General features: G+C 35.2%; 1 long non-coding RNA gene and 1 pseudogene across 2 annotated transcripts in view, besides 3 other annotated features; one reads left to right on the top strand and one right to left on the bottom strand.

Annotated features, from left to right (window-relative positions):
- Positions 1-13054, bottom strand: part of LINC00240 (long intergenic non-protein coding RNA 240) — a 66982-nt gene extending 53928 nt beyond the window's left edge. The window contains exons 1-2 of the long non-coding RNA NR_026775.2: positions 12864-13054; positions 1525-1589 (exon numbers count right to left, since the gene is read on the bottom strand). This is a non-coding gene — a long non-coding RNA (long intergenic non-protein coding RNA 240). The remainder of the gene's footprint in view (positions 1-1524; positions 1590-12863) is intronic.
- Positions 12696-13394: an enhancer, noted in NCBI's record as "H3K27ac hESC enhancer chr6:26924432-26925130 (GRCh37/hg19 assembly coordinates)". NCBI's record gives its function as "activates a minimal SCP1, AML or CMV promoter by ChIP-STARR-seq in naive H9 embryonic stem cells {active_cell/tissue: H9 hESC(naive)}" and the evidence as "EXISTENCE:reporter gene assay evidence [ECO:0000049][PMID:30033119]".
- Positions 12696-13501: a biological region, named in NCBI's record as "H3K27ac hESC enhancer GRCh37_chr6:26924432-26925130".
- Positions 13032-13501: a silencer, noted in NCBI's record as "silent region_17016". NCBI's record gives its function as "represses an Ori minimal core promoter by ATAC-STARR-seq in GM12878 lymphoblastoid cells {active_cell/tissue: GM12878}" and the evidence as "EXISTENCE:reporter gene assay evidence [ECO:0000049][PMID:35858748]".
- Positions 13493-23682, top strand: part of GUSBP2 (GUSB pseudogene 2) — an 85068-nt pseudogene continuing 74878 nt past the window's right edge. Inside the window, exons 1-2 of the transcript NR_003504.3 lie at positions 13493-13658; positions 18888-18961. The product of NR_003504.3 is annotated as a GUSB pseudogene 2 (transcript). The remainder of the gene's footprint in view (positions 13659-18887; positions 18962-23682) is intronic.

Raw genomic sequence — 23682 nt, 5'->3', positions numbered from 1 at the left:
CTATTTTTCTTCAATTGGAAATATTTCATATTTTAAAGACTTCCATTCCTAACAAATGTGGAATACAACATTTTTAGCTCAAAATATTTTTCAAAACAAAACAGAATTTTTCCAGTCTTCACATATAAAACTAAAGCAACAAGCTCAAGTCTATCCAGACATTTTATACTTCAGAAACGAAAATATTAATCTTACGTGTTTATGACGGATGTTTTTCTTATAATTTTAGTTAAAAAATATTTGTAGAAGATTTTTGTAGTAATATAGTCAGAAAATTAGTCTGCATTTTTATCTACAAATTAAACAGTATTTTAAAAATTAGTTCAGGAAATTTTATTTTATATTGTATTTTAGTCTGTATTTGAATGATATTTAAATTCTTAGATTTTCACTTTAGATATGGGAACTCAGGTGCTTAATTCTATCCTCTTTAATTTTATATCTGTGATTTCTTCTGCTTTGTTTTCAGTTCTATTTTTTTGCTGCACTGCAAAAGAGTTTCTAAAGATTGTATTGAATATTACAAGCTTCATTTAGTGCTCTATCATTTGGCATTTACATTTTTACATAGTTTTAAAATTATATCTATTTCTTTGTATTTTTTATCTAATTTTATACAACTTTAAAAATCATGCACCTCTAATATCTATTGACTAGGTTTAGCTTTCATTTCAGAGATAACATTAATAGTGAAAAAATATTATCTTAAATGCAAAGATATTCATTATTTAAAAACTGATCAATGACATTCACCAAATTATCACAGGGACAAAAACATAAAATGATCATCTGTAGAGATGCAGAAAAATAATTTGACAAAATTCAGCACTGATTTATAAGAATTATCAGCAAAATAAGAATAGAAATGAAAATTGACCAACAACCAGAAGTGACAGCAACAACAAAACACCAAGTCAGTAAAGATGGAGAGAAATAGGGAAGCAGTGAAGGTAGATGTCATTTCTGTTTTTAGTGGTGGAATACAAGGTGTTCTTGTGCTTAAAGGTCATGTTCTTGTGATAAAACGCACTGCAGAGACAACATAGTTTAATTGGCTGAGGCAGGTGACTCCCTTTAAGCATCAGGGTGGAACAAACTACACGACAAAATGTAATTTTAAAAACCACTCTCATTCAAATGTAAGAATATCAAAGCACCCTTAACTCATTAATGAGTGAAACAATGAGTGTCATGGTCTGAATTGTGTTCCCCTCCCCAAACCCGTATGTTCAAGCCTTAAACCCTAGTTATACACATAAGGTAAATGAAACCTTACTTGGACACAAAGTTTTTGCAGATGTAATCAAGCTAAAATTATGTCTTTAGGTGGGACTTAAAATAACATGGGTTATCTTTATAAGAAGAGGGAACAGAAACAGATAGGATGTGGAGAGGACCATGTGAAGACAGAAGCTGAGACTGAAAAGGATTTATGTATTAATATTAACAGAAGCCAAGGAACACCATCTGAAGTTCTGATGGCAACATCAGAAGCTAAGAGAAAGGCATGGAAAAGATTCTCACCTAGAGCATCCAGAGGAGAGGTTGGTCCTGCAGACACCTTGTTTTCTGACTTCTGGCCTCCGCAACTGTGAGAGAAGAAATTTCTGTTGCTTAAAGACACACAGCTTGTGCTACTTTATTATAGTAGCCCAAGGTAACTAATATAGATGACAAAATTGGTTCCAAGGGTGTTTGAGGAACTGGATCTTTATAGGCATTATTTTCATAATACTGCATTAAGCTACGATAACTGGATTAGATTCAAAATTGGATAATGCCCTAAAATGCAATAAAGCTATAATTTTGAGATAAAATTTTAATAGCTTTATGAGATATAATTAACATCTGGTATACTGCACATTTTTGAGGTGTGAAATTTTTAAACATTAACATACGTATATACTTGTAAAACTATCACACTATAAAGAGATCTCAAGCCTCTTCTTTTGACTTTCAACACATCGTCAATCCAGTACTAATCTGGTTTTATTACCATATATCAGCTTTTATTTTCTACAATTATATTTCAGTAGAATTATAGAGTATGAACTCTTTTTGTCTTTTTTCCTTAAGCATAATATTTTTGAGATTCAACAATTTCTTGCATGTTTAAGTAGCACATTTTTTTATTGTTACATATTATTTCATTTCATAGACATACCACTATAATTTATTTACTAAACTCTTGACCAGAGGTTCTCAAATGAGGGACATTTTACCTGCCAGGGGACATTTCCAATGTTTGGGGACACTTTTGGTTATCAGAGGTTTGTGGAGGAGGGGATAGAGTGTGCACAGGCCAGGGTTCCACAAAGGATAGCTCCCCACAACAAAGAATTAAGCCACTTCAACAGCTAATAGTGCTGAACTTGAGAACGCCGCTCTTGGTGGACAGTTGCGTGGTGTCTGTTTTTGACAATAATGAATAAAGGTACTTGTGCAAGCCTTTTTATAGACTTATGCTTTTCTCCCCGCTAGGATAAATGCCTAGGGGTGGAATTGGTACATGTAAGGTAGATTTAGTTATCCAAAGTAGCTGTACTGTGTTACACTCCCACCGTCAATGTATGCAAACTCTAGATTCTGGTTTCTTGACATCTATGCCAAATATTGGTAACACAATTTTTAAAATAGTAGCTTTTCTAGTAGATGTGTATAATTATCTCATTTTATTTTTTTATTACTAACGATATTAAGAAATTTTTCATTTGCTTATTTGCTATTGTATCATTTTTGTGTAGCATCTGTTGGTTTTTATTGTTCTCTTGTTTCTATGTTGTACATTATATTTATATATTCTTGCTCTTATTCATAATAAATAGTATATATAATTGTGTAATTAAAAATAAACATTAAAGTATAAATATATTTATACATTTCTATAGTTTATCATTATATAATTATTGCTTTCTGAATAAAAAGAAATTTCTCCACAGTTTGCATAAAAAGAAATGCTTTCATGTAGTTTACTAAGACATTTTCTGTGCTTTATATTTGAAGCCTATGCTTTCACTTTTACATATTGTTCCATAATATATTTTGGACTCATTTAATTTTGAACTCATTCATGCTTTTGTTGTGAGGAAGGACTTGGGTTTGTTTTCTTCACATTTATCTCGTAGTTCTGCACACTTTGTTAAATAAAAGTATCTTTCCCCTTTGAATAACTGCAGTATCTTTGATATTATATTATTCATATAAGCATGGATCTATTTGTGAACTCTATTCCATTCCATTACTCTAATTGTTTATCCATATACTAATAACACATTCTCTTGATGACTATAGCTTTAAGTTATTGCATGGTGTTAGGAAGTGTGAGTATTCCAACTTTTTTTTCAGCTTTTTATCATTTGTTTTTGCTCTCTTGATGTAATGTACATTTTTAAATCAGTGTGTCAATTTATATAAAAATATCTTTTGTGATTATGGTGAGGATTTCTAGAATGATTAATTTGGAAAAACCAAAACCTTTTACACACTAAAATTCACTGAACTTTCAAGCCACGATTATTGTATTAGTTTGTTCTGGCATTGCTATAGAGAAATACAGAAGACTCAACAATTTATGAAGAAATGAGGTTTAATTGCCCCACTGTTCTGCAGGCTATACAGGAAGGATGATGCTGGCATCTACTTAGCTTCTGGGAAGACTCAGGAAACGTACAATCATGGCAGAAAGCAAAGGGGGACAGGCACGTCACATGGCCAGAACAGCAAGAGAGTGAAAGGGGAAGGTGCTACACACTTTTAAATGACCAGATCTCATGAGAACTCACTCACTCACTATTATCAGAACAATATCAAGAGGGATGATGCTGAACCACTCATGAGAAATCCACCCCATGATCCAATCACCTCCCACCAGGCCTCACCTCTAACGTTGGAGATTACATCATATCAGATTTGGGCAGGGATACACATCAAAACCATCAATTATTGTATGTGACTCCATTTATTTAGAACTTTCCTACATCTCCCAACACTTTTGCTAGTTTCCTATTTAGAGAGATCTTGCATGTAATTTGTTAAAATCATATATACATATTTTATTTTTATTAGTATTTTACATGGATTTGATTTTCATCATTAATTGCTCATTGGAAATATATAGAAATAAGTTAATGGGTTGACTTATTTTTTCTATGATGTGGCTAAAATTACTAGTTTATTCTAGCAGCTGATTTTTACAGTCACTAGAGGTTTATGTATAGGTAATGGAGTTGTTTAAAAATTTAGAATTGTATTTTTCATTTCTTAACTGTGTATGTTTTACTTATTTATTTGATTTGTCTCACTGGTTAATTCCTCCCATACAGTAGAGAGAACAATAGTGAAAGAGGACACTTTGTCTTCTTCTGGATCTTAAATGAATAATTTATTAGTTCAAACTTCAGTGTGATATTTCCGTAGATGCCTTCTATTTGCTTAAGGATGCTTCTTTGTATTCTATTGGGGCGAGATATTTTTATTATAATTCTGTCTTGAAAATGCCAAATGTTTTTTCTGCCTCAGAGGCAGTTTATATATTTTTTTCATTTTACTCAGTTAATGTGGGGAGTTTGAAAATTCAAAATACTTGAAAAATCACGTTCCCATCAAACACTGCTTCTTACTGTGCCTTTCTAAGAGGACTACCCTCAACTTGGGCATTTAGAGGATACTTCCCTTCCTATAGCTCAGGGTTTTTTTGTATTTTTTTTATGTTTAAATTTTAGTGATATTTCTTTTTTGTGTTTTTAAAATATTTTATGGGATATTGCATTGGCCCATTTGTTTCAACTTTACAGCTCTAGTTAAATATAAAAATTAATAAAATGTCAACACTCAAGTATTACATATATCCCTTGCTCTGGTGATTTAGGACTATAAGAAAAATGCTCAATTTCCCTCGATAGAAGGAAGTATCAACTTTATTTATTATTTATTTATTTATTACTGTAGTCTCACAGCCTAAAAATCATTAGGTCTCCATTGATCAGCAAGCAAATGATCATGATTGTTTTTCTGAATTTTTGACAATTTCAGAATAGGCAAGAAAGCTAAACTTTAAAAATAAAATGCCAACACCAAGAATTTAAAATCAAATTCTTCACAATGAATCCCAACAGGAAATAGTTCTTCATTTTATGATTACTCAGAGATTTTGCTTGTTGTAGTGGTCTTCCTTCTGGCTCATAATTTTTTGCTACTCTGCAGCAGAAATAATAAGAAATATTTTCCCAGTCCACAGCGGTGAAGGAGAAGAAAACTATAAATCAAAAGTAGCATATTCTGTGGATCATTTATTGAAATAAACACAGTGAGTACAAGATGGGTAATCTATTTGCATAATCAAAGACACCCTTCATCTGTGTCTATTTTTTTCTTTTCTTTTCTTTTTTGAGACAGAGTCTCACTCTGTTACCCAGGTTGGAGTGCAGTGGCATGATCTTGTCTCACTGCAGACTCTGCCTCCCGGGTTCCAGCAGTCTTCCTGCCACAGCTTCCTGAGTAGCTGGGATTACAAGGTATGTGCCACCATGCCCGGCTAATTTTTGTATTTTTATTAGAGATGGGGTTTCGCTATGTTGGCCAGACTGGTCTTGAACTCCTGGCCTCAAGTGATCTGCCCGCCTCAGCCTACCAAAGTGCTCGGTTACAGGCATGAGCGACTTGCCTGGCTATGTCTATTTTTAACATAGTTATAGTGAACTATAATTATTTTTACATAAAAACTATTCTTACAAATGTTATATGTATTTTAAGAGCATACAAACTTATGGGTTTTTTTATTTAATAAAAACCAGTGGCAGATTGATAATGCAGAATATATTATTTATAAAAAATCATCTGTTGTCATACAAACATATATTTTATTTGAAAATTATACTTTTGAATAGCTTTTTGGAAAGTTAAAGTATTCTCATTTACTGCATACATTTGTCACCAAAATTATACGAAAGAGTGTTTGATTCAAAATGTGTGTGTGTGTGTGTTCCTATATAGGACCTGGATAACACATACGTATAAAATAAATAAATACATGTATATATCATGCACACACATTTAAATATAATGTAAATGTGTGTGTGTGTGTGTATGTGTGTGTGTGTGTGTGTGTATGTGTATGTGTATGCAGATGTCCCCCTGGAAGCAAATTTAAAAAGAATCCCCTCTTTTGAGTGTATAAAGAAGTTCCTTTCTTAAGGAATGGATAACAGGGGTTGGTACTTTGGCTGAATTCCTCTTCCTCTTACTTTCATTAGACTTGGCACTGTTGCATAGAACACAATTTTCCAAAATGTAATGTCTGTGTTATGCCTGCAAATGTACCATACATAACAATTTGTCATTTTCTGTAATTACATACTGACCTATTTAACATTTATCTAACCACTTATATATCTTAATTAAAATAAATCAACCCATATAAATTGTTTATTTCTATTGTCTTTCTCAGTATAATGCACAAGATACCTTTCTATCTCTATATGTATTTGTCATTTTCATGTCTGTCCCTACATGAATTGACTCTATTTTTCTATTACATAGATATGTGATGTTACTACAATATATGTTAACTAAAAATGGATGATGTAACCTTTTAAAATTATGACCATCACAGTGAAAATTATGTCTCTAAAACCCAATGACCACAGGGACATTCCAGTTTTTAGAAAAATATCAGGGGCTTAGGTATTTTCAGATTAAATTTTGAAAAATAGAGTATCTTTCCATTGATTTATGTGGGCAAATTTCCCATTTGTTCACATTAAATCTTAATGGCATATTGCCTAAATCTTCCTCAGAAAAGCTTAGCCAAATTGCCTAGGATGTTTCCTTTCTCCCATATTACCATCACTGTATACCATCATATTTCTAATAATTTTAATTTTGGAACATGAAAATGGTATTTCAATTTAAATGCGTATGTTTTTCTATTTGCAAAGAGATTAAACATCTCTTCAAGTTTTTAAACTATATGCAGCCCTTCTTTTCTGCTATACCTGTTCATTTCCTCAAGCTATTTTTCCATCAGACAGTTTTATGTTTTCTTATTGATTTGAAGCTTCTATTAAAGTATTGTATACACATGGGTAAATGCACATAAGTTTAAAGCTTAGTGAGTTTTAAAATACTATGATCATCCAGAATAAGAAAATGTAATAGTCACACACCTGATTTCCACCCATCCCTCCTAACATAACACTATTCTAACTTTTATCAGTAAGGAATCAAATAGTGTGTGTAGTGTTTTGAACCGCATTTTTTTGCTTAATATTACATTTGTGAGACTAATTGATTATATGACCTGCAAATGAAACTATTTACATTTATTTCTCTAATATTTTATTAGGTGATCATATTACAACTTATTTGTTTACTGTACTCTTTATAAGTATTTTAGTCCACTTTTGGCCCACAGTTTGGGGTTATTTTGGTGTTATTCTGAAAAGTGTTTTCATGAGTACACATTTTTTTTTAGCTATATATATGCATGCCTTTCTGGAGAAACCATCTTTACAAGTAGAATTTTGGGGCCTACTACATATCTTTATCCAAATTATTTGAACTAAGTTATGCCAATAACATCAATTTGAGTGTTCTAATTAGTCAACATTCTCATCAATACTTTGCATTTTCTCTTCAACTTAGAATTCTAAAACATTCCTTTCAAATTCAGGATTCTGAATGACAAGTATTTACATCTCATTGTGGTTTGAATTATTTTTTCAGATAACCAATATAAATAAAAACCTTTTAATAAGTTCATTGGTTATTTGAATATTTTACTTTTGAAGTGTCTAAAATATTTTCTTTTTAATCCAGTCCAGTTATTTTTCTGTGGTTTGCTTCTTGTTGTCTTATTGAGTTCATTGCCTTTTTAATATTCTTTTCCAGTTAACATTTCCCCCTCATTGATCTGAAATGTTTTCATTATATACCACCTTTCCATATCTGTCAGTGTCTTGATTTTCTATATGATCTTCATCTATCTGTATTTATAACTCATTTTAATCATAGAAGCTTTAAGAATTGCTTAATATTTTGTATTGACTCCAAATTCCATTGATTTTATAGGATATTTCTAGCTATTCTTGCTTCTTTATTCCTCCAAGTAAATTTGTCTATTTTTCTAAATCTGGACAAAGAAATTCTAGAAAATATCGTTTTGTTATGACATAGAAGATATAAGTTTATTTAAAGAACTGGCACATTTATGATTTTAAGGCTTTTTCAAGAGCATGGAATTTCTTTCCCCGTGCTCAAGTCCAAATTTGTGCCATTCAGAAGTGTTTTCTAGTTTTTTTTATATATAGGTTTTAAACATTTCTGGTTAAGTTTATGCCCTCACATTTTATTTTAGTTTGGTTAATGACGTTTTACATGTGTGAGTTCCTCAATTATTTCTTTTAAATGTTCTGATTCAATAGGAACACTCTCCTTAGTATCCTTAACAGAAATGATTCTTGTTTATAGAATTGCTAAATAAGTAAAGAAATTTTGAGTTAAATCATGGCAAGGAGTTATAATTATACTAAGCTTTTTTGTTCCTAGAGATTTTGGCTCACTCATATGGTAATCTATATGAAAATTTTTCTGTGATATCTAATAGGAGAAAGATCCTCAATGATAGAATAGTGTTTCTTCCTAGCTGATTCATACATCTTTCTCTGCCAACATTTTGTTTGTTGAAGTGTTCCCCAACATATGACTCATTGCTTACTAAATCCCTATTGAGCAGCCAAAGCCCTGGTGACTAATTATGTCATTAATTTGGGAAAGTCAGAGACAATAAGACTGTCAGTTGAAACTTTGTAGGAGGTAAAAAAGTCACTGCTGTCAGCTGCAAAGATCCTTAAAATGGTCTTTAATAAAGTCAAATTTTGTGACAATAATTATTGCATCAAAGTCGGGGAAATACCTCTTAGATCAAATAAGATACATTGAAAAGCCAAAAATTATTTTTATCTCACTTTGTATTCTCATAAGGTCTATCCACTGTTACTTGGATATGAGACTTAACAAATGGAAAAGAAGACAGGGGTACTATCACACTGTATTTTCCTATGGCCTAATGACCACAATGGTTGATGAACTGCAGTAAAGTTTCTATAATATTTTCCATCTATTCATTTGCTCAATCACCTTGTAATGGTTATGTTGGTTAATTCCAGTCTCTCATGTGTAAGCAACAAAATGAGACTTAATTTGAAATATCCAGTATTTTTCTATTCTTACAAATAATTTTCAGGATCAATGCGTTGAGGATTAGGAATGGCAATGTGTATTACTACTTTGATACCAACTATATCCGATCTAATGTTGGAATTTGTTTGACAAAGTGTTGTGTATTTGAAAACAGGCAGCACTGAATAAAAAGAATATGGGCAAAAGAAAAATGGAAGTGTTTTGAATGGAAGTCTAAAATATTTATTGATCAATGCTGAACTGAGTAAGCAGGAGATGCCTGTACATAAATGACATTATCCTGATCTAGTAACAGGGAGAAGCAGAATATCTGAAAGCTGTTTATTAATTTGATAATAATAAGATTAGAAACATGCAAATCAAGATTAATAGTATTCACTTCTAATTGGGTTTAGGTAGACTTTGGCTATTTTGCTTCTGATGTTCTTATAGTTTTAATTTTCTATAATGATCATATAATATATAATATTTTCATAATAGTAAACATTTTAGAATTAAACTCCATTAGAGTGTACCTTTCCTAAAATAATATAAACATCCAATCTTGTCCTTAACAATTCTGTTCTCAAACATTAGCCTATTCCCTCAAGCCAATGTTGCTTTCGACCCATATTGTCCATCATTTCAATTTATCTCAAAGTTTTTTATTGCAACAATTAAATGCTTTGAATGATACCCAAGGCATAGTTCTAGTTCAATAAAATTTCAAAGTTAATAGTTACATCAAATTTTGTTGGTGCTCATTGAATTTCGTTATTAAAACCGTAAGTAGCATGTTTTATGCTGACTGAGGGAGATAAAAGTAGTAATGTTTAATATTCAAACTGTGATGACTGAAAAAAAAATGAGGCCTGTAAAATCTTATTTAATGTCAAATTTTAATTAAACAGGCTTAGCAGACCAAAATTAAAATCTCAATTATTTTTAAATTATTAATGACAGACAACTAGATTGAGTGAACACTGGCATCTCTTTTCAAATAACTTAGTGGATGAGTTAAACATAAACTAGTTATTATAATGCAGCGAAGTATGTGAAAAATTTAATTTGAACCCCACTTAGCTTAAAATCCTGACATTCTAGGATGCAAACTTTCCATATGTAATCAACAATTTTCTAAACATGCATGCTGTATCTCTCCTGTGTGACTTTGCATACATCATTCCCACATTCTAGATTATCCCAACCCACCTTAAGTGACTGCTTTTGCATAATCTCCCTTAAAATTCTAACTCAAGCACTGCATCTTTTGAGTCCTTCCCTAACATCTTAACATCTTCCTTCTTTCATTCATCATTAACTATAGTAAGTTATTATAGCACCTGTTAGCACTGTAAAATTATGTGTGTTACACAAGTACAACATGCAGACTAAGGTCGTGTATTACCTAGCCTCATATCAGCGTCACCTAGAACAGCAAAAATGTATGCAGATTAATCACAATATATTTGGATGTACAAAATATATTGAGAGCAAAATATGATGGAAATTTAGGTGATGCTCTTTGAGCATTGCTTCCATTTTCCAATAATGTAACCAGGAATCACTGTTCATGTAATTAAAGAACAATAAGTCTATGTGAATCAAAATATACATATACATGCAAATGTTAAACCTCAGTAGGAAGAGGCCCATTCTCTTGCTTGCTGCCATATATATATATATATATATATATATATATATATATATACACACACACATATATATATGTTGTGTGTAGATGTATATACACACAACAATCTATAGGCTTGCTTTTTAAAATAGTATAAGCAACAAATTTTAAGAGAAACAATAATGAGTGTGTAAAACATTAGATGTGTGTATGTACCTTTGCTATTATTTGTGGAAATGGGGCTATAAAATAAGCTCCTTTATTTTCTTTTGTAAAGCATTTCTTTAATATGAAGTAATGCAATATGTATTTATGTTCTAAGTGTTTTAATTTCCTTGGATATAAAATAATATCTTGTTCCTTTGATTCTCTTACATATAAGTGTATTTACTCTGATATTACTCCAAATACACCAGATATATTTAAAGTTGAAAAAATATATACTTTGGAATGTATTATCACCTTATTTCACATTAAGAAATCAAAATCTCTGGCATCCAAGTGCATTCCAGCCTGAAAAAAATTATGCAATTGTGAATTTAACAGAAAGCAAATTGCTCACATGTGGAGTCAACGTGAAGCTATATCAATATTTATTAAAAGTTCATATATTACTTTTGATCCCCTGGAGAGGAATACAAAATTCAAATAATTATTCTATTTTTATATCCCAATTTGTAATTATGAAACTCTAGCATTTTAATTTTTCTCTTTCAAGTTTACCTGAAGCTTCACAAAATTCTGTGAGGAATCTATTATAACAGGTATTTTGCTTATTTCCACACAAACAGAAGGAAATGTGTATTTTCTATGCCCTGAAGAATTTACTCTTTTCTGTAAATGACATATGGTAGTTAATTCTTTTTGGTAATAAAATATTCCTGTTTTTATGCCGAACAGCCTTTTCATTTAAATTCAGGGCAACATATCAAAGCTTTGCCGTAATAATACAGAGTAATCAACTAAAGTAATATAGAAGTTAAATAACAAAGAGTTTAAACAATTTAATATGTCTTCTATTAATTTCAAACTGAAATTTTACAGAAATTTGGAATATGCTGCCAGAGTACACACACACATACACACACACACACACACACAATCACACGCTCACATCACACACTCACACCCAGCTAAAGGAAATTACCACAGCTATAATGATTTCATTAAATATCTGAAATTAAAGTTTCTTTTGGACTTTTCAGCTGAAGCTCATAGTAAATAAAAGTAATATGATCACTGTTGCATACTGTGAATCAACAGCACACAGAAACCTTAGACTTTCTATATTTACACAGCTTAATTATCCGAACTGAAACCTGAGGCCATCTGTGTCAACATGATTTCACAATTCATTCCAGAAAATTATTTTTCAGGAAAGTAAGGCTGCAAACCAATAAATAACTTATTGTTTGCTTCAGGAAATTTCTGCAAATCAATTTATGTCAGTAAGCAACTCTCCTCTGGGCCAACAGATTGCTCACCTGGGCAGGTAGCAGCTTGTGTCAATAACAGTTTACTTATGAAGACTTCTGTCATGGCCCTTAACTCACAGTGTCCCCCAATCCTAAACTCTATGTCCTGAACATTACCTCTTCTTATCAGTCATTGGTCTTGAAAGGCCCCGGGCAACCATGTGAGCCCAGACGTCAATACCCTATCGATACCACCTTATCATCTACTCTTCTAACATAACCCCTCAAGGTGGTGACCCCACTTACAGTCGTATTTTATTGAATTTAGCTTTCCCTAATCAACATGCTAGTCTATTGGATGCAGTGTCAGAGGCAACAATCACAGAGGTTCTGAAAGCATCAGCCCACGGTTTTCTAAACATCATGGTTCAAGACCCTTAACACGAAACAGAAAGTTTCCCCGAGGCGCCGTAAACAACCCGTTTGGGCGCTTCCCTGATAATTATAGTGAAATCTGGCATCTAATTTTTTTTGGTGGACTCTCAAATTTTATATTTACGTTTTGCTTCCTAGAAATAAAAAATGTTTTTATAAGGAATTCTTTGATCGTTTATGTTTTATTCTTGATAGAAACCTACTTTATAACTTCGAACATTATTGATGTTCTTCCTGTATTTCTGAGAGGTGACAGCTTGCTGGCATCCCCTCGCTGGCTCTCGGCGCCTCCTCGGCCTCAGCCCACTCTGGCCGCGCTTCAGGAGCCCTTCAGCCCGCAGCTGCACCGTGGGAGCCCCTCTCTGTGCTGGCTGAGGCCTGAGCGGGCTCCCTCTGCCGGCGGGGAGGTGTGGAGGGAGAGGCGCGGGCCGGAACCTGGGCTGCCTGCGGTGCTCGCAGGTCCAGCGCGACTTCCGGGTGGGCGCGGGCTCGGCGCGCCCCGCACTCTGAGCGGTCGGCTGGCGCCGCCGGCCCTGGGCAGTGAGAGAGGCTTAGCACCCGGGCCAGCAGCTGCGGAGGGTGCACTGGGTCCCCCAACAGTGATGGCCCGCCGGCGCCGCGCTCGAATTTTCGCTGGGCCTCAGCCACCTCCCCGCGGGGCAAGGGGGCAGGGCTCGGGACCTGCAGCCTGCCATGCTGGAGCCCTCACCCTGCTCCCCGCCCCCGTCCCCTGCCCCCCGCCCCCCAGCCGCGGGCTCCCGCGCGCCACCCCGAGGGGACGGGCGCCACCTCCTGCTACGCGGCACCCGGTCCCGTCAACCGCCCAACGGCTGAGGAGTGCGGGAGCGCGCCAGAGACTGGCGGGCAGCTCCGCCCGCGGCCGGGATGCACTAGGCAAAGCCAGCTGGGCTCCTGAGTCCGGTGGGTACTTGGAGAACTTATTACGTCTAGCTGGAGGATTGTAAATGCACCAATCAGCATGCTGTGTCTAGCTCAAGGTATGTGAACGCACCCATCAGTGCTCTGTGTCTAGCTAATCTAGTGGGGACTTTGGAGAACTTTTGTGTCTAGCTAAAGGATTGTAAACAGACCAATCAGCTCTCTGTAAAATGAACCCATCAGCTCTCTATGAAATGGACCAATCATCAGGATGTGGGTGGGGTGAGATAAGGGAATAAAAGCGGCTGCCAGAGCCAGCAACAGCAACGTGCTGGGGTCCCTTTCCACAGTGTGGAGGCTTTGTTCTTTTGCTCTTTGCAGTCTTGCTGCTGCTCACTGTTTGGCTCTGCGCAGAGCTGTAACACTCACCAAGAAGGTCTGCAGCTTCACCCAAAGATATTCCAAAGATACAGAAAACTATACAGAGACATTTTGTGTAGTTCTAATAGCATATAATCCACAGGTCCCTGATCTATAATAGGGGTTTTTTATAAAATTGGTTTTTTGTATGCTATGAGGAATTTTACTTGTTAAAAAGAAGAGGTGGAAAGGCAGAATATGAAAACTATGAGAATGACATAAGAGACTATGAATTAGGTGAGAAACCAGAGAGATTTAGAAACCTGTAGACATTGTGCATCCCCCAATGCCTTTCCCCTTAAAAAAATATTATATTCTAATCCAGTCCATCAAATAAAGTCTACATTCATTAGAAACATATTCTCTTGGTTTTTATAATTTCAATTTTTTTCAGACACAGATAGTGCATATGCAGATTTGTTACTTTTGTACAGTGCACCCTGGTAGTGAGCATAGTACCCAGTAGGTAGTTATTCAGCCCATGCTCCCCTCTCTCCCCCACCCCCATAGCCTGCAGCATGTCTTGTTCCCATGTTAATGTTCCTGTGTGCTCAATGTTTAGGTTCCACTTATAAGTGAGAATGTGTGGTATCTGGTTTTCTTTTCCAGCACTAATTTGCTTAGGATTATGTCCTTAGCTCCATCCATGTTGCTGCAAAGGACATAATTTCATTCTTTTTTATGGAGGCATAGTATTCCATAGTGTATATGTACCACATTTTCTTTATCCAATCCACCGTTGATGGGCACCTAGGTTCATTCCATGTCTGTGCTGTTGTGAATAACATGCTGATGAACATACGAGTGCATATATATTTTTCTGGTAGAATAATTTATTTTCCTTTGAATATATACCCAGTAATGGGAATGCTGGGTCGAAGGGTATCTCTGTTTTAAGTTCTTAGAGAAATCTCCAAAATACTTTCCACAGTGCCTGAACCAGTTTACATTTCCACCAACAGTAGTTGTATAAGCATTCCCTTTACTCTGCAGCCTGGCCAACATCTAATTTTTTGACTTTTTAATTATAGCTATTGTGACTGATGTGAGTTGGCATCTTACTGTGGTTTTTGCTTGCATTTATTTATTTGATGATGAGTGAGGATGAGTGTTTTTTCATATACTTGAGTGTCTTCTTTTGAGAAAATATCTGTTCATGTCCTTTGCCTTTTCTTGATTTAAATTTTAAGTTCTGGGGTACATGTGCAGGAAGCGCAGTTTTGTTACATAGATAAACGTGTGTGGTGGTGGTTTGCTGCACCTATCAACCCATCACCTAGGTATTAAGCCCAGCATGCATTAGCTATTTTTCCTGATGCTCTCCCTCTCCTCAACCCCCTACAGAAAATTATAGTGTGTGTTGTGTGTTGTGTGTTGTTCCCCACTGTGTGTTGTTCCCCTCCCTGTGTCCATGTGTTCCCATTGTTCAGCTCCCACTTATAAGTGAGAAGATGCGGAGTTTGATTTTCTGCTCCTGTATTAGCTTTGCCCTTTTTGACTGGGGTTGTTTTATGCTTGTCATTTTTTCTTCCTTATGGATTTGTTATATTAGATCTTTATCAGATGCATAGTTTGCAAATATTTTCTCCCATTCTGTAAGTTGGCTGTTTACTCTGTGGATAGTTTCTATTGCTGTGCAGAAGCTTTTTAGTTTGATTGACTTTCACTTGTCAATTTCGTTTTCGTTGCAATTGTTTTTAGAAACTTAGCCAAAAATTATTTGCCAAGGCCAGTGTCGAGAAAAATATTTCCTAGGTTTTGTTTTAGAGTTTTCATAATTTGAAGTCTTACATTTTAACCGTTAATCCATCTTGAATTAATTTGTGTGTATGGTGGAAGGTAAGCATCCAGTTTCACTCTTCTGCTTATGGCTAGCGAATTGTCCCAGCACCATTTATTGAATAGGGTGCCTTTTCCCCGTTGTTTGTTTTTGTTGGCCTTGTCCAAGATCAGATGGTGGTAAGTGTGCAGCTTTATTTTTGAGTGTTCTATTCTGTTCCATTGGCTTAAGTGTCTGCTTTTGTAACAGTATCATGGTTAGTGTACACTTATAGTATAGCTGGAAATTGGGTAGTATGATGCCTCTCTGGCTTTATTATTTTTGCTCAGAATTGCTTTGGCCATTCTGGCTTTTGGGGGTGTTCCATATAAATTTAGAATAGTTTTTTCTAATTCTGTGAAGAATGATGTTGGTAGTTTCATGGAGATAGCCTTGAATCTACAAATTGCTTTGGGCAGTATGGCCATTTTAACAATATTGATTCTTTTAATCTGTAAACATGGAATGTTATTCCATTTATTTGTGTTATCAAAATTTCCTTCCTTCCTTCCTTCCTTCCTTCCTTCCTTCCTTCCTTCTTTCCTTCCTTCCTTCCTTCCTTCCTTCCTTCCTTCCTTCCTTCCATCTTTCCTTCCTTCCCTCCCTCCTTTCCTCCCTCCCTTCCTTCCATCCTTCCTTCCTTTTCTTATTTCCTTCCTTTTTTGAGACAGGGTCTCACCCTTTCACCCAGGCTGGAATGCAGTGGAGTTATTATAGCTCACTGCAGGCTTGAGCTCCTGGCCTCAAGCCGTCAGGGTAGTTAGGACTACAGGCATGTGCCACCATGCCTCGCTATTAAAAAAAAAAACAAAAAACAATTTGTATAGATGAGGTTCCACTATGTTGCCCAGGTTGGTCTCAAACTCCTGGGTCCAAGCGATATACCTGCCTCGGCCTCCCAAAGGCATGAACCACTGCATCCAGCTTCAGATTTCAGCTGTGTTTTGTAATTCTCCTTGTGGAGATCTTTCACATCTTAGGTTAGTTGTATTTGCAGGGATCTTATTTTCATCCTAGGTGTTGTAAATATGATTGTGTTCTTAATTTAACTCTCAACCTGGATGTTGTTGTTGTATAGAAATGCTACTAATTGTTGTACATTGATTTTGTATCCTGAAACCTTGCTAAAATCCTTTATCATTTCTAGTAGACTTTTGTTGAAGTCTTTAAGGTTTTTTAGGTATAGAATGATATTGTTGGGTGAAGACAGATAGTTTGCCTTAATCTTTACTTCCTATTTGGGTGCTTTTCTCTTTTTCTGTTGCGAGATTGCTCTGACTAGGATTTCTGGTACTATGTTGAATAGGAGTGGTAAGAGTGGATGTCCTTGGCTTGTTTCATTTCTAAAGGAGAATGCTTTCAGCTTTTGCCCATTCAGTATTATATTGGCTGTGGGTTTGTTGTAGATAGCTCTTTTTTATTTTGAAGTATGCTTATTTGAAGCCTCAACTGTTGAGGGTTTTTTTTTTGTTTTGTTTTTTCATGAAGGGACACTGGATTTAATTGAAAGCTTTTCCGGCATCCATTGAGATGATCATATGGTTTTTGATTTAATTCTGTTTATCTGGTGAATCACGTTTATTGATTTGCATATGTTGAACCAGCCATGCATCCCAGGAATAAAGCCTGTATTGTCATAGTAGATAAATTTTTTGATATGCTGCTGATGGATTCAGTTTGCTAGTACTTTGTTGAGAATTTTTGAGTCTATGTTCATCAACAGTGGTCACCTGAATGTTCTTTTTTTTTGCGTCTCTGCCAGGTTTTGGTATTAAGCTGATTCTGGCTTCACAGAATGAGTTAGGAAGGAGTACGTTCTCTTCAACTTTTCTGGAATAGTTTCAGTAGAATTGTACTAGTTCTTCTCTATACTTCTGGTAGAATTTTGCTGTGACTCCATATAGTCCAGGGCTTTTTGGCTTGGTAGATTTTTTATTACTTACTCAATTTCAGAGCTTCATATTGGTCTCTTCAGTATTTAAGTATCTTCCTGATTCAATCTTGGAAGATTGCCTGTTTTCAGAAATTTATCCATTTCCTCTAGATTTTCTGATTTTTGTGTCTAGAGTTATTCCTAGTATTCTCTGAGGATTATTTTGTATGTCTGTGGGACCATTTTTAATGTCGTTTTTGTCATTCTGATTTATATATTTAGATCTTCTCCTTTTTTTCTTTGTTTATCTAGCTAAAGGTCTATCAATCTCTTTTTTTAAATCAACTCTTGGTTTCATTAATCTTTTGTATGGATTTTTGCATCTCAATTTCATTCAGATCTTCTCTATTTTAGTTGTTGCTTTTCATTCCTGGCGTTGATGTAGGGTTGTTCTTTTTTTTTTTTCCCTAGTTCCTTTAGGCGTAGTGTTAGATTGTTAATTTGAAATATTTCTAACTTTATGATAAAGGCATTTAAACGTTCCTCTTAACACTGATTTAGCTGCATCCCAGAGATTTTGGTAATTTGTGTTCCCATTTTCATTAATTTCACTTTCTTAAAATTTCTCCCTTAATTTTGATTTTCACACAGAAGTTATTCAGGAGAAAGTTGTTTAATTTTCATCTATTTGTGTAGTGTTGAGAGATGTTGATATTTATTTATATTTTGATTACATTGAGATCTAAGAGTGTGCTTGATATGAGTTCATTTTTTAAAATTTATCCAGACTTGCTTTATGACCAAGCATGTGGTCAATGTTAGAATATGTTCCCTGTGCAGATGAGAAGAATGTATATTCTGTGGTTATTGAGTGGAGTGTTCTGTAGATGTCTTATTAGGTCCAAATGGTCAAGTGTGAAGTTTAAGTACACAGTTTCTTTCTTAGTTGTCTGCTTTGATGATGCAATGCTGCCAGCGGGGGTGTTGAAGTCTCCTACAATTATTGGGTGGTCGTCTGTCTTTTTGTAGTCCAAAAAGAACTTGTTTTATGAATGTGGGTGCTCCATGTTGGGTGCATTTATATTTAGGGTACTTAAGTATTCTTGTTTGATCATATACTTTCTCATGACGTAATGCTCTTCATTCTTCAATTGTTCTTTTAAATTTTGATTAAAGTCTGTTTTATCTGATATAAGAATAGTTACTCCTGCTTTTTTGTTATCATTTGCATGGCAGATTTTCTCCATCCCCTTATTTTGGGCCAGTGGCTGTCATTACATATGAGATGAGTCTCTTGAAGACTACAGATGGTGAGCCTTGCATTTTTATCCAGTTTGCCATTGTACGTCATTTAAGTGGGGTGTTTAGCCTGTTTACATTTATGGTTAATGTTGATACATGAGATTTTGATCCTATCATCATGTTTGTAGCTGGTTTTTAGGTAGACTTGATTGTGTAGATACTTTATAGTGCCTGTGAGCTATGTACTTAAGTGGGTTTTTGTGGTAGCAGGTGTCATTCTTTTTACTCAATGTATAGCACTCCCTTAAGGACCTTTCATAAGGCTGGTCAAGTTGAAATTGATTCCCTCAGTATTTGCTTATCTGAGAAGAAATTTGTTTCTTCTTCACTTAGGAAGTTTAGTTTAGTGAAATATAAAATTATTGCCTGGAATTTATTTTCATTAATGATGTTGGACATAGGCCCTTAATCTCTTCTGGCTTGTAAGGTTTTTGCTGAGATATTTACTACTAGCCTAGTGGAGTTCTTGCTGTATGAAAACCTGACCTTTCTCTCTAGCTGCCTTTAAGATTTTTTTTTCTTTTGTATTTACTTTGGTGAATATGATGACTATGTGCCTTAGGGATAGTCACCTTTTATAGTACCTAGCTGGGTTTGCTGTATTTTTTGGATTTACATGTCACTCTCTCTAGCGAGGTTAGGAAAATTTTCATAGACTCTATTCTCAAATCGACTTTCCAAGTTGCCTTTTCTCTTTCTTTCTCTTCTAGGAATGACAATGAGTCGTAGATTTGGTCTCTTTATATAATTCCATAATTCTTAAAGCTTTGGTTCATTTTCTTTTTTTAATTCTTTTTTAAAATTTTCTTTTGACTCAGTTGATTCAACGAACCAGTCTTTGAGCTCTGAGATTCTTTCCTTAGCTTGGCCTACCTTCTGTTAATATTTCTTATTGTATTATAAAATTCTTATACTGAATTTTTTCTGCTCTAGAAATTCAGTGTGGCTATTTTTTAAAATGGCAATTTCATCTTTCAGCACTTACTTAGATTGCTTTACCGGATTACTTGGATTGGGTTTCAACTTTCTGCTTAATGTTCATGAGCTTCCCTGCCATCGAGGTTCTGTATTCTATGTCTGTTGCAATTATTTTAGACTGATTAAGAACCATTGCTTGGTAGCTAGTGGGCTAATTTTGAGGTAAGAGGACACTCTAGCTTTTTGAATTGCCAGAGTTCTTGCACTGATTTTTTCTCTTCTGGTAGGGTTAGTGTTCCTTTAACTGTAGTGTATGTTGAGTATAGGCAATTGGTTTTGTTTCTGGATGCTTTGAAAGGGCCAGGGCTTTCTCTGTCCAGGATTTTTATGTATGAGTAATTCTTGTGTTTGGTTTCACAGGTGTATATGTAGCAGGATAAATTTTGATGTTGTAGTTTGGGATGTGATCCAATGCATGGTGCTTAAGAGCGATGGCCAGTGGCTAGCCTAATACCCAGTGGCATGGCTGTTTTATACTTCCTTTTGTTTGCAGGTGTGCTCTATAGTGGGGGTGGGAGAGATGCCTCCATCACCAGATCTGCTCCTGGGCCCTGGGGGAGTCTCCTGCAATCACTGTGTTTCTTGTGTTAGGTGTTCTAGGCCACAGGTCTCTCTCAGGCAGAGGCCCTTTCCTAGGAGCCATTCTGGGGAACTAGCTGTAGTGTTTGGGTTCCCTGCACAGGCTTCCTCCCTCTTCAACTCAGCTTCATTGCTGCCTCTCCATCCACTCAGCATTTTCTCTCTCAAGATCTGCCTAAATTACGGTGGTTTACTCCATAATTTGGTGTCTCTCAGTGGGGGTGGTGCTTCCTGACCATGTCAAATTGACCATCTATTGTCACAGAATGAAAACCTCTTTGATAGACTTTGTAACATTTTTGAATATTACATTCAGGAGTAAAATCTTACGCAGTGTGATCCCAGCTATCTCTTCGCTTTTGAGAATAACCTTAAGTAATTAAAGGATAATTAAATATGTAATTAAAAATTGAAAAATAGAACAGCTACACTTCCAGATCTCAACTTCTTTCAGAAAATTTTAAAATCTCTTTAAAGAAAGGTAAATTGAGACCAAAATAGACTAATAGCTTCATAAAAATAAGTGCTCAAGGAGGGTGTTACATGTGAAAATTAAACTTGGAATTTGTCATTTTACCCGTAAAATTACTGAGAGTAATTTCCTTGAAATGTAAATAACTTCACAAATTTTTAATTAACAAAAATGCTAAAATATTACTCCGCTTACCTTTATGTAACCTCTTCCTTGAAAACAACAATTTACTCATCTGGTGTGTGACTCTAATAACCTTCAATCATTCTCTATATCTGACACCATGACTAGTAACTTAGATCTTTAACTAAGCAACCTTTCTTTCCGCCTTTGTGATATTATATCTAGTAATTTAATAACAAACAATCTATGTTGCAAATTAAACTTCCAAATTGAATACTAATTTTCAAATCCCAAGGACCCATTTCTTCTGCCTCAATCTTAATTAGGTCTTAGTTAATAGAAAAATTAGCTGGCTGGGTGCGGTGGCTCATGCCTGTAATCCCAGCACTTTGGGAGGCCAAGGTGGGCGCATCACCTGAGGTCTGAAGTTCGAGACCATCCTGGCCAACATGGTGAAACCCCGTGTGTACTAAAAACACAAAAAATTGGCCGGGTATGGTGGTGGGTGCCTGTAATCCCAGCTACTCAGGAGGCTAAGGCAGGAGAATCACTTGAACCTGGCGGGGTGGAGGATGCAGTGAACCGAGATCCCACCACTGCACTACAACCTGGGCAGCAACAGTGAAACTCCTCAAAAAAAAAAAAAAAAGAAAAAAGAAAAAGAAAAAAGAAAATTAACTAAATCAAGCCTAAATAAAACATATTCACAAAGTGGCAGACTTTTTTAATCCAAAAATTTAACTGCATGAATGTCTCATTTATAGAACATTATTTTACAATGAGGTTTTACACATCAATCAGTTGAGTCACTTCTTTTTCTTCTTCTTTTTTTTTTTTTTGAGATGGAGTCTCGCTCTGTTGCCCAGGCTGGAGTGCAGTGGTGTGACCTCAGCTCACTGCAACCTCCACCTCCTGGGTTCAAGCGATTCTCCTGCCTCAGCATCCCGAGTACAGGCACTACAGGCACGTGAGCAAGAGAAGCTGACAGATTCAAATGTTCACAAACATTTATGTTCTATTTTGATAGATACATAAACTATATTTCTCATTCTTATATACTTTATATTAGGGCATGGGATTAAAGTCAAAATAGTGGAAAATTAGTAGAAATAACATATTTTATATCCAATTTAGTCTCCAAAATCCCAACATGCACTCTTCTGTATACGTTTTTCAGTATGCTTGACTGGAATGGCCAATTCTACAGTAGTCTTGGAAGCAACATACTGCAGATTAAATAGCTTAGTAGCCTATGTTCTTGAATGCGGACATAAAGGAGCAATGCTTTTCCTATCTTAAAAAAACAGTTTATATGAATGAAACTTCTGTTCTGTTTAAGATATTATATGTTGTTGAGTGTAGTTGTCAAAGCAACTAGTACTATTCCAAGTAATGTAGAAATCACCAGCTTGAGTTGGGTCTGCTATAACAGCACCTAAAACATATCCACTAAATTAGTATTAAATGGACAAGTAAACCAAACTCAGAGGGTTGAAATGAAGACTTGTAATACCCAGTGAAAAAAAATTATTGAAACTACCATCTAAAATTAATTGGAAGCTTAATATTACCTCTAGGAAAGAGTGTGGGAAATGAGGAAAGGCAAAAGGTAATGTGTTCATGTTTGTTCTGTTCCATAATCCAAGAAATAGATAAACACAGGCAAAAAAAAAAAAAAAAAAAAGGAAATATCCTGTCTTTAGAGTGGGAAGAAAGTGGATAGAGTTGAGTTGCTAAACCTTAGCATTATTGACATTTTATGCCTGATATTCCTGCATTCTGTGGGAGGTTATTCTTTGCATTGTAGGATATTAATAGTATCTCTAGGCTATACCACCACATACCAGTAGCATCACCACCTATTCATTATAATTCAAAATGTCTCCAGACAGTGACAAGTGTTCTATGGAAACAAAATCATTCCTTGTTGGAAACCACTTGTAAACAAAAGGTCTAGTAATGGTGGAATTATACAGTGACAGAAAAGCTCAGGTTTTTCTGATTAGGTTGAAAAAGCTGCTCAGAAATTAAATCCTACTGTGTTCATAAAAAACAAGGAACCCAGCCCTGAAGCAAAGAACTAATCAGGGAAGTTGTTTTCTCTTTCACGTCCATGATCTCAAATGACCTTAAAGTGGTCATCTTTACAGTCAGAGAAGCATATGTGTGTTGGGGAGGAGAAAAAACAAGGAAATGAGGCAGACTTTAGAATTATACCTAGGAAAGAACTGTATGTTTGGTTATCAACTAGATCCAATAAATAAATAAATGTTTTCCACGTAACTACTTGGTAAAGGTATAATAAGCCTATTGTGAGAAAAAAAATTAAGGCTTAAAATATCCTCAAGCATCCCAAATTGCACTAATCAGTGCAATTGATTAGTCATGCTGAGAAAACACTCATTGTTCTAATTTAAGATGGAGGCATGGAGAATAAGAGAAAATGTAAATTACCTCAGAAAGTAAATCTGTGAGCCACAGGGACAATGGACCTTAAAGTTATTTCCACAGGACATGTTTATGGTTTCATGAAATAAATATTTGTACTGCTCAGAAATATTTTTGTCAGTGCTATGC

Source organism: Homo sapiens, chromosome 6, assembly GCF_000001405.40.
Source record: "Homo sapiens chromosome 6, GRCh38.p14 Primary Assembly".
NCBI classification, from domain to species: domain Eukaryota; kingdom Metazoa; phylum Chordata; class Mammalia; order Primates; family Hominidae; genus Homo; species Homo sapiens.
The sequence above is the reverse complement of the archived record's forward strand: the minus strand, read 5'-3'. Positions and strand labels throughout refer to the sequence as shown.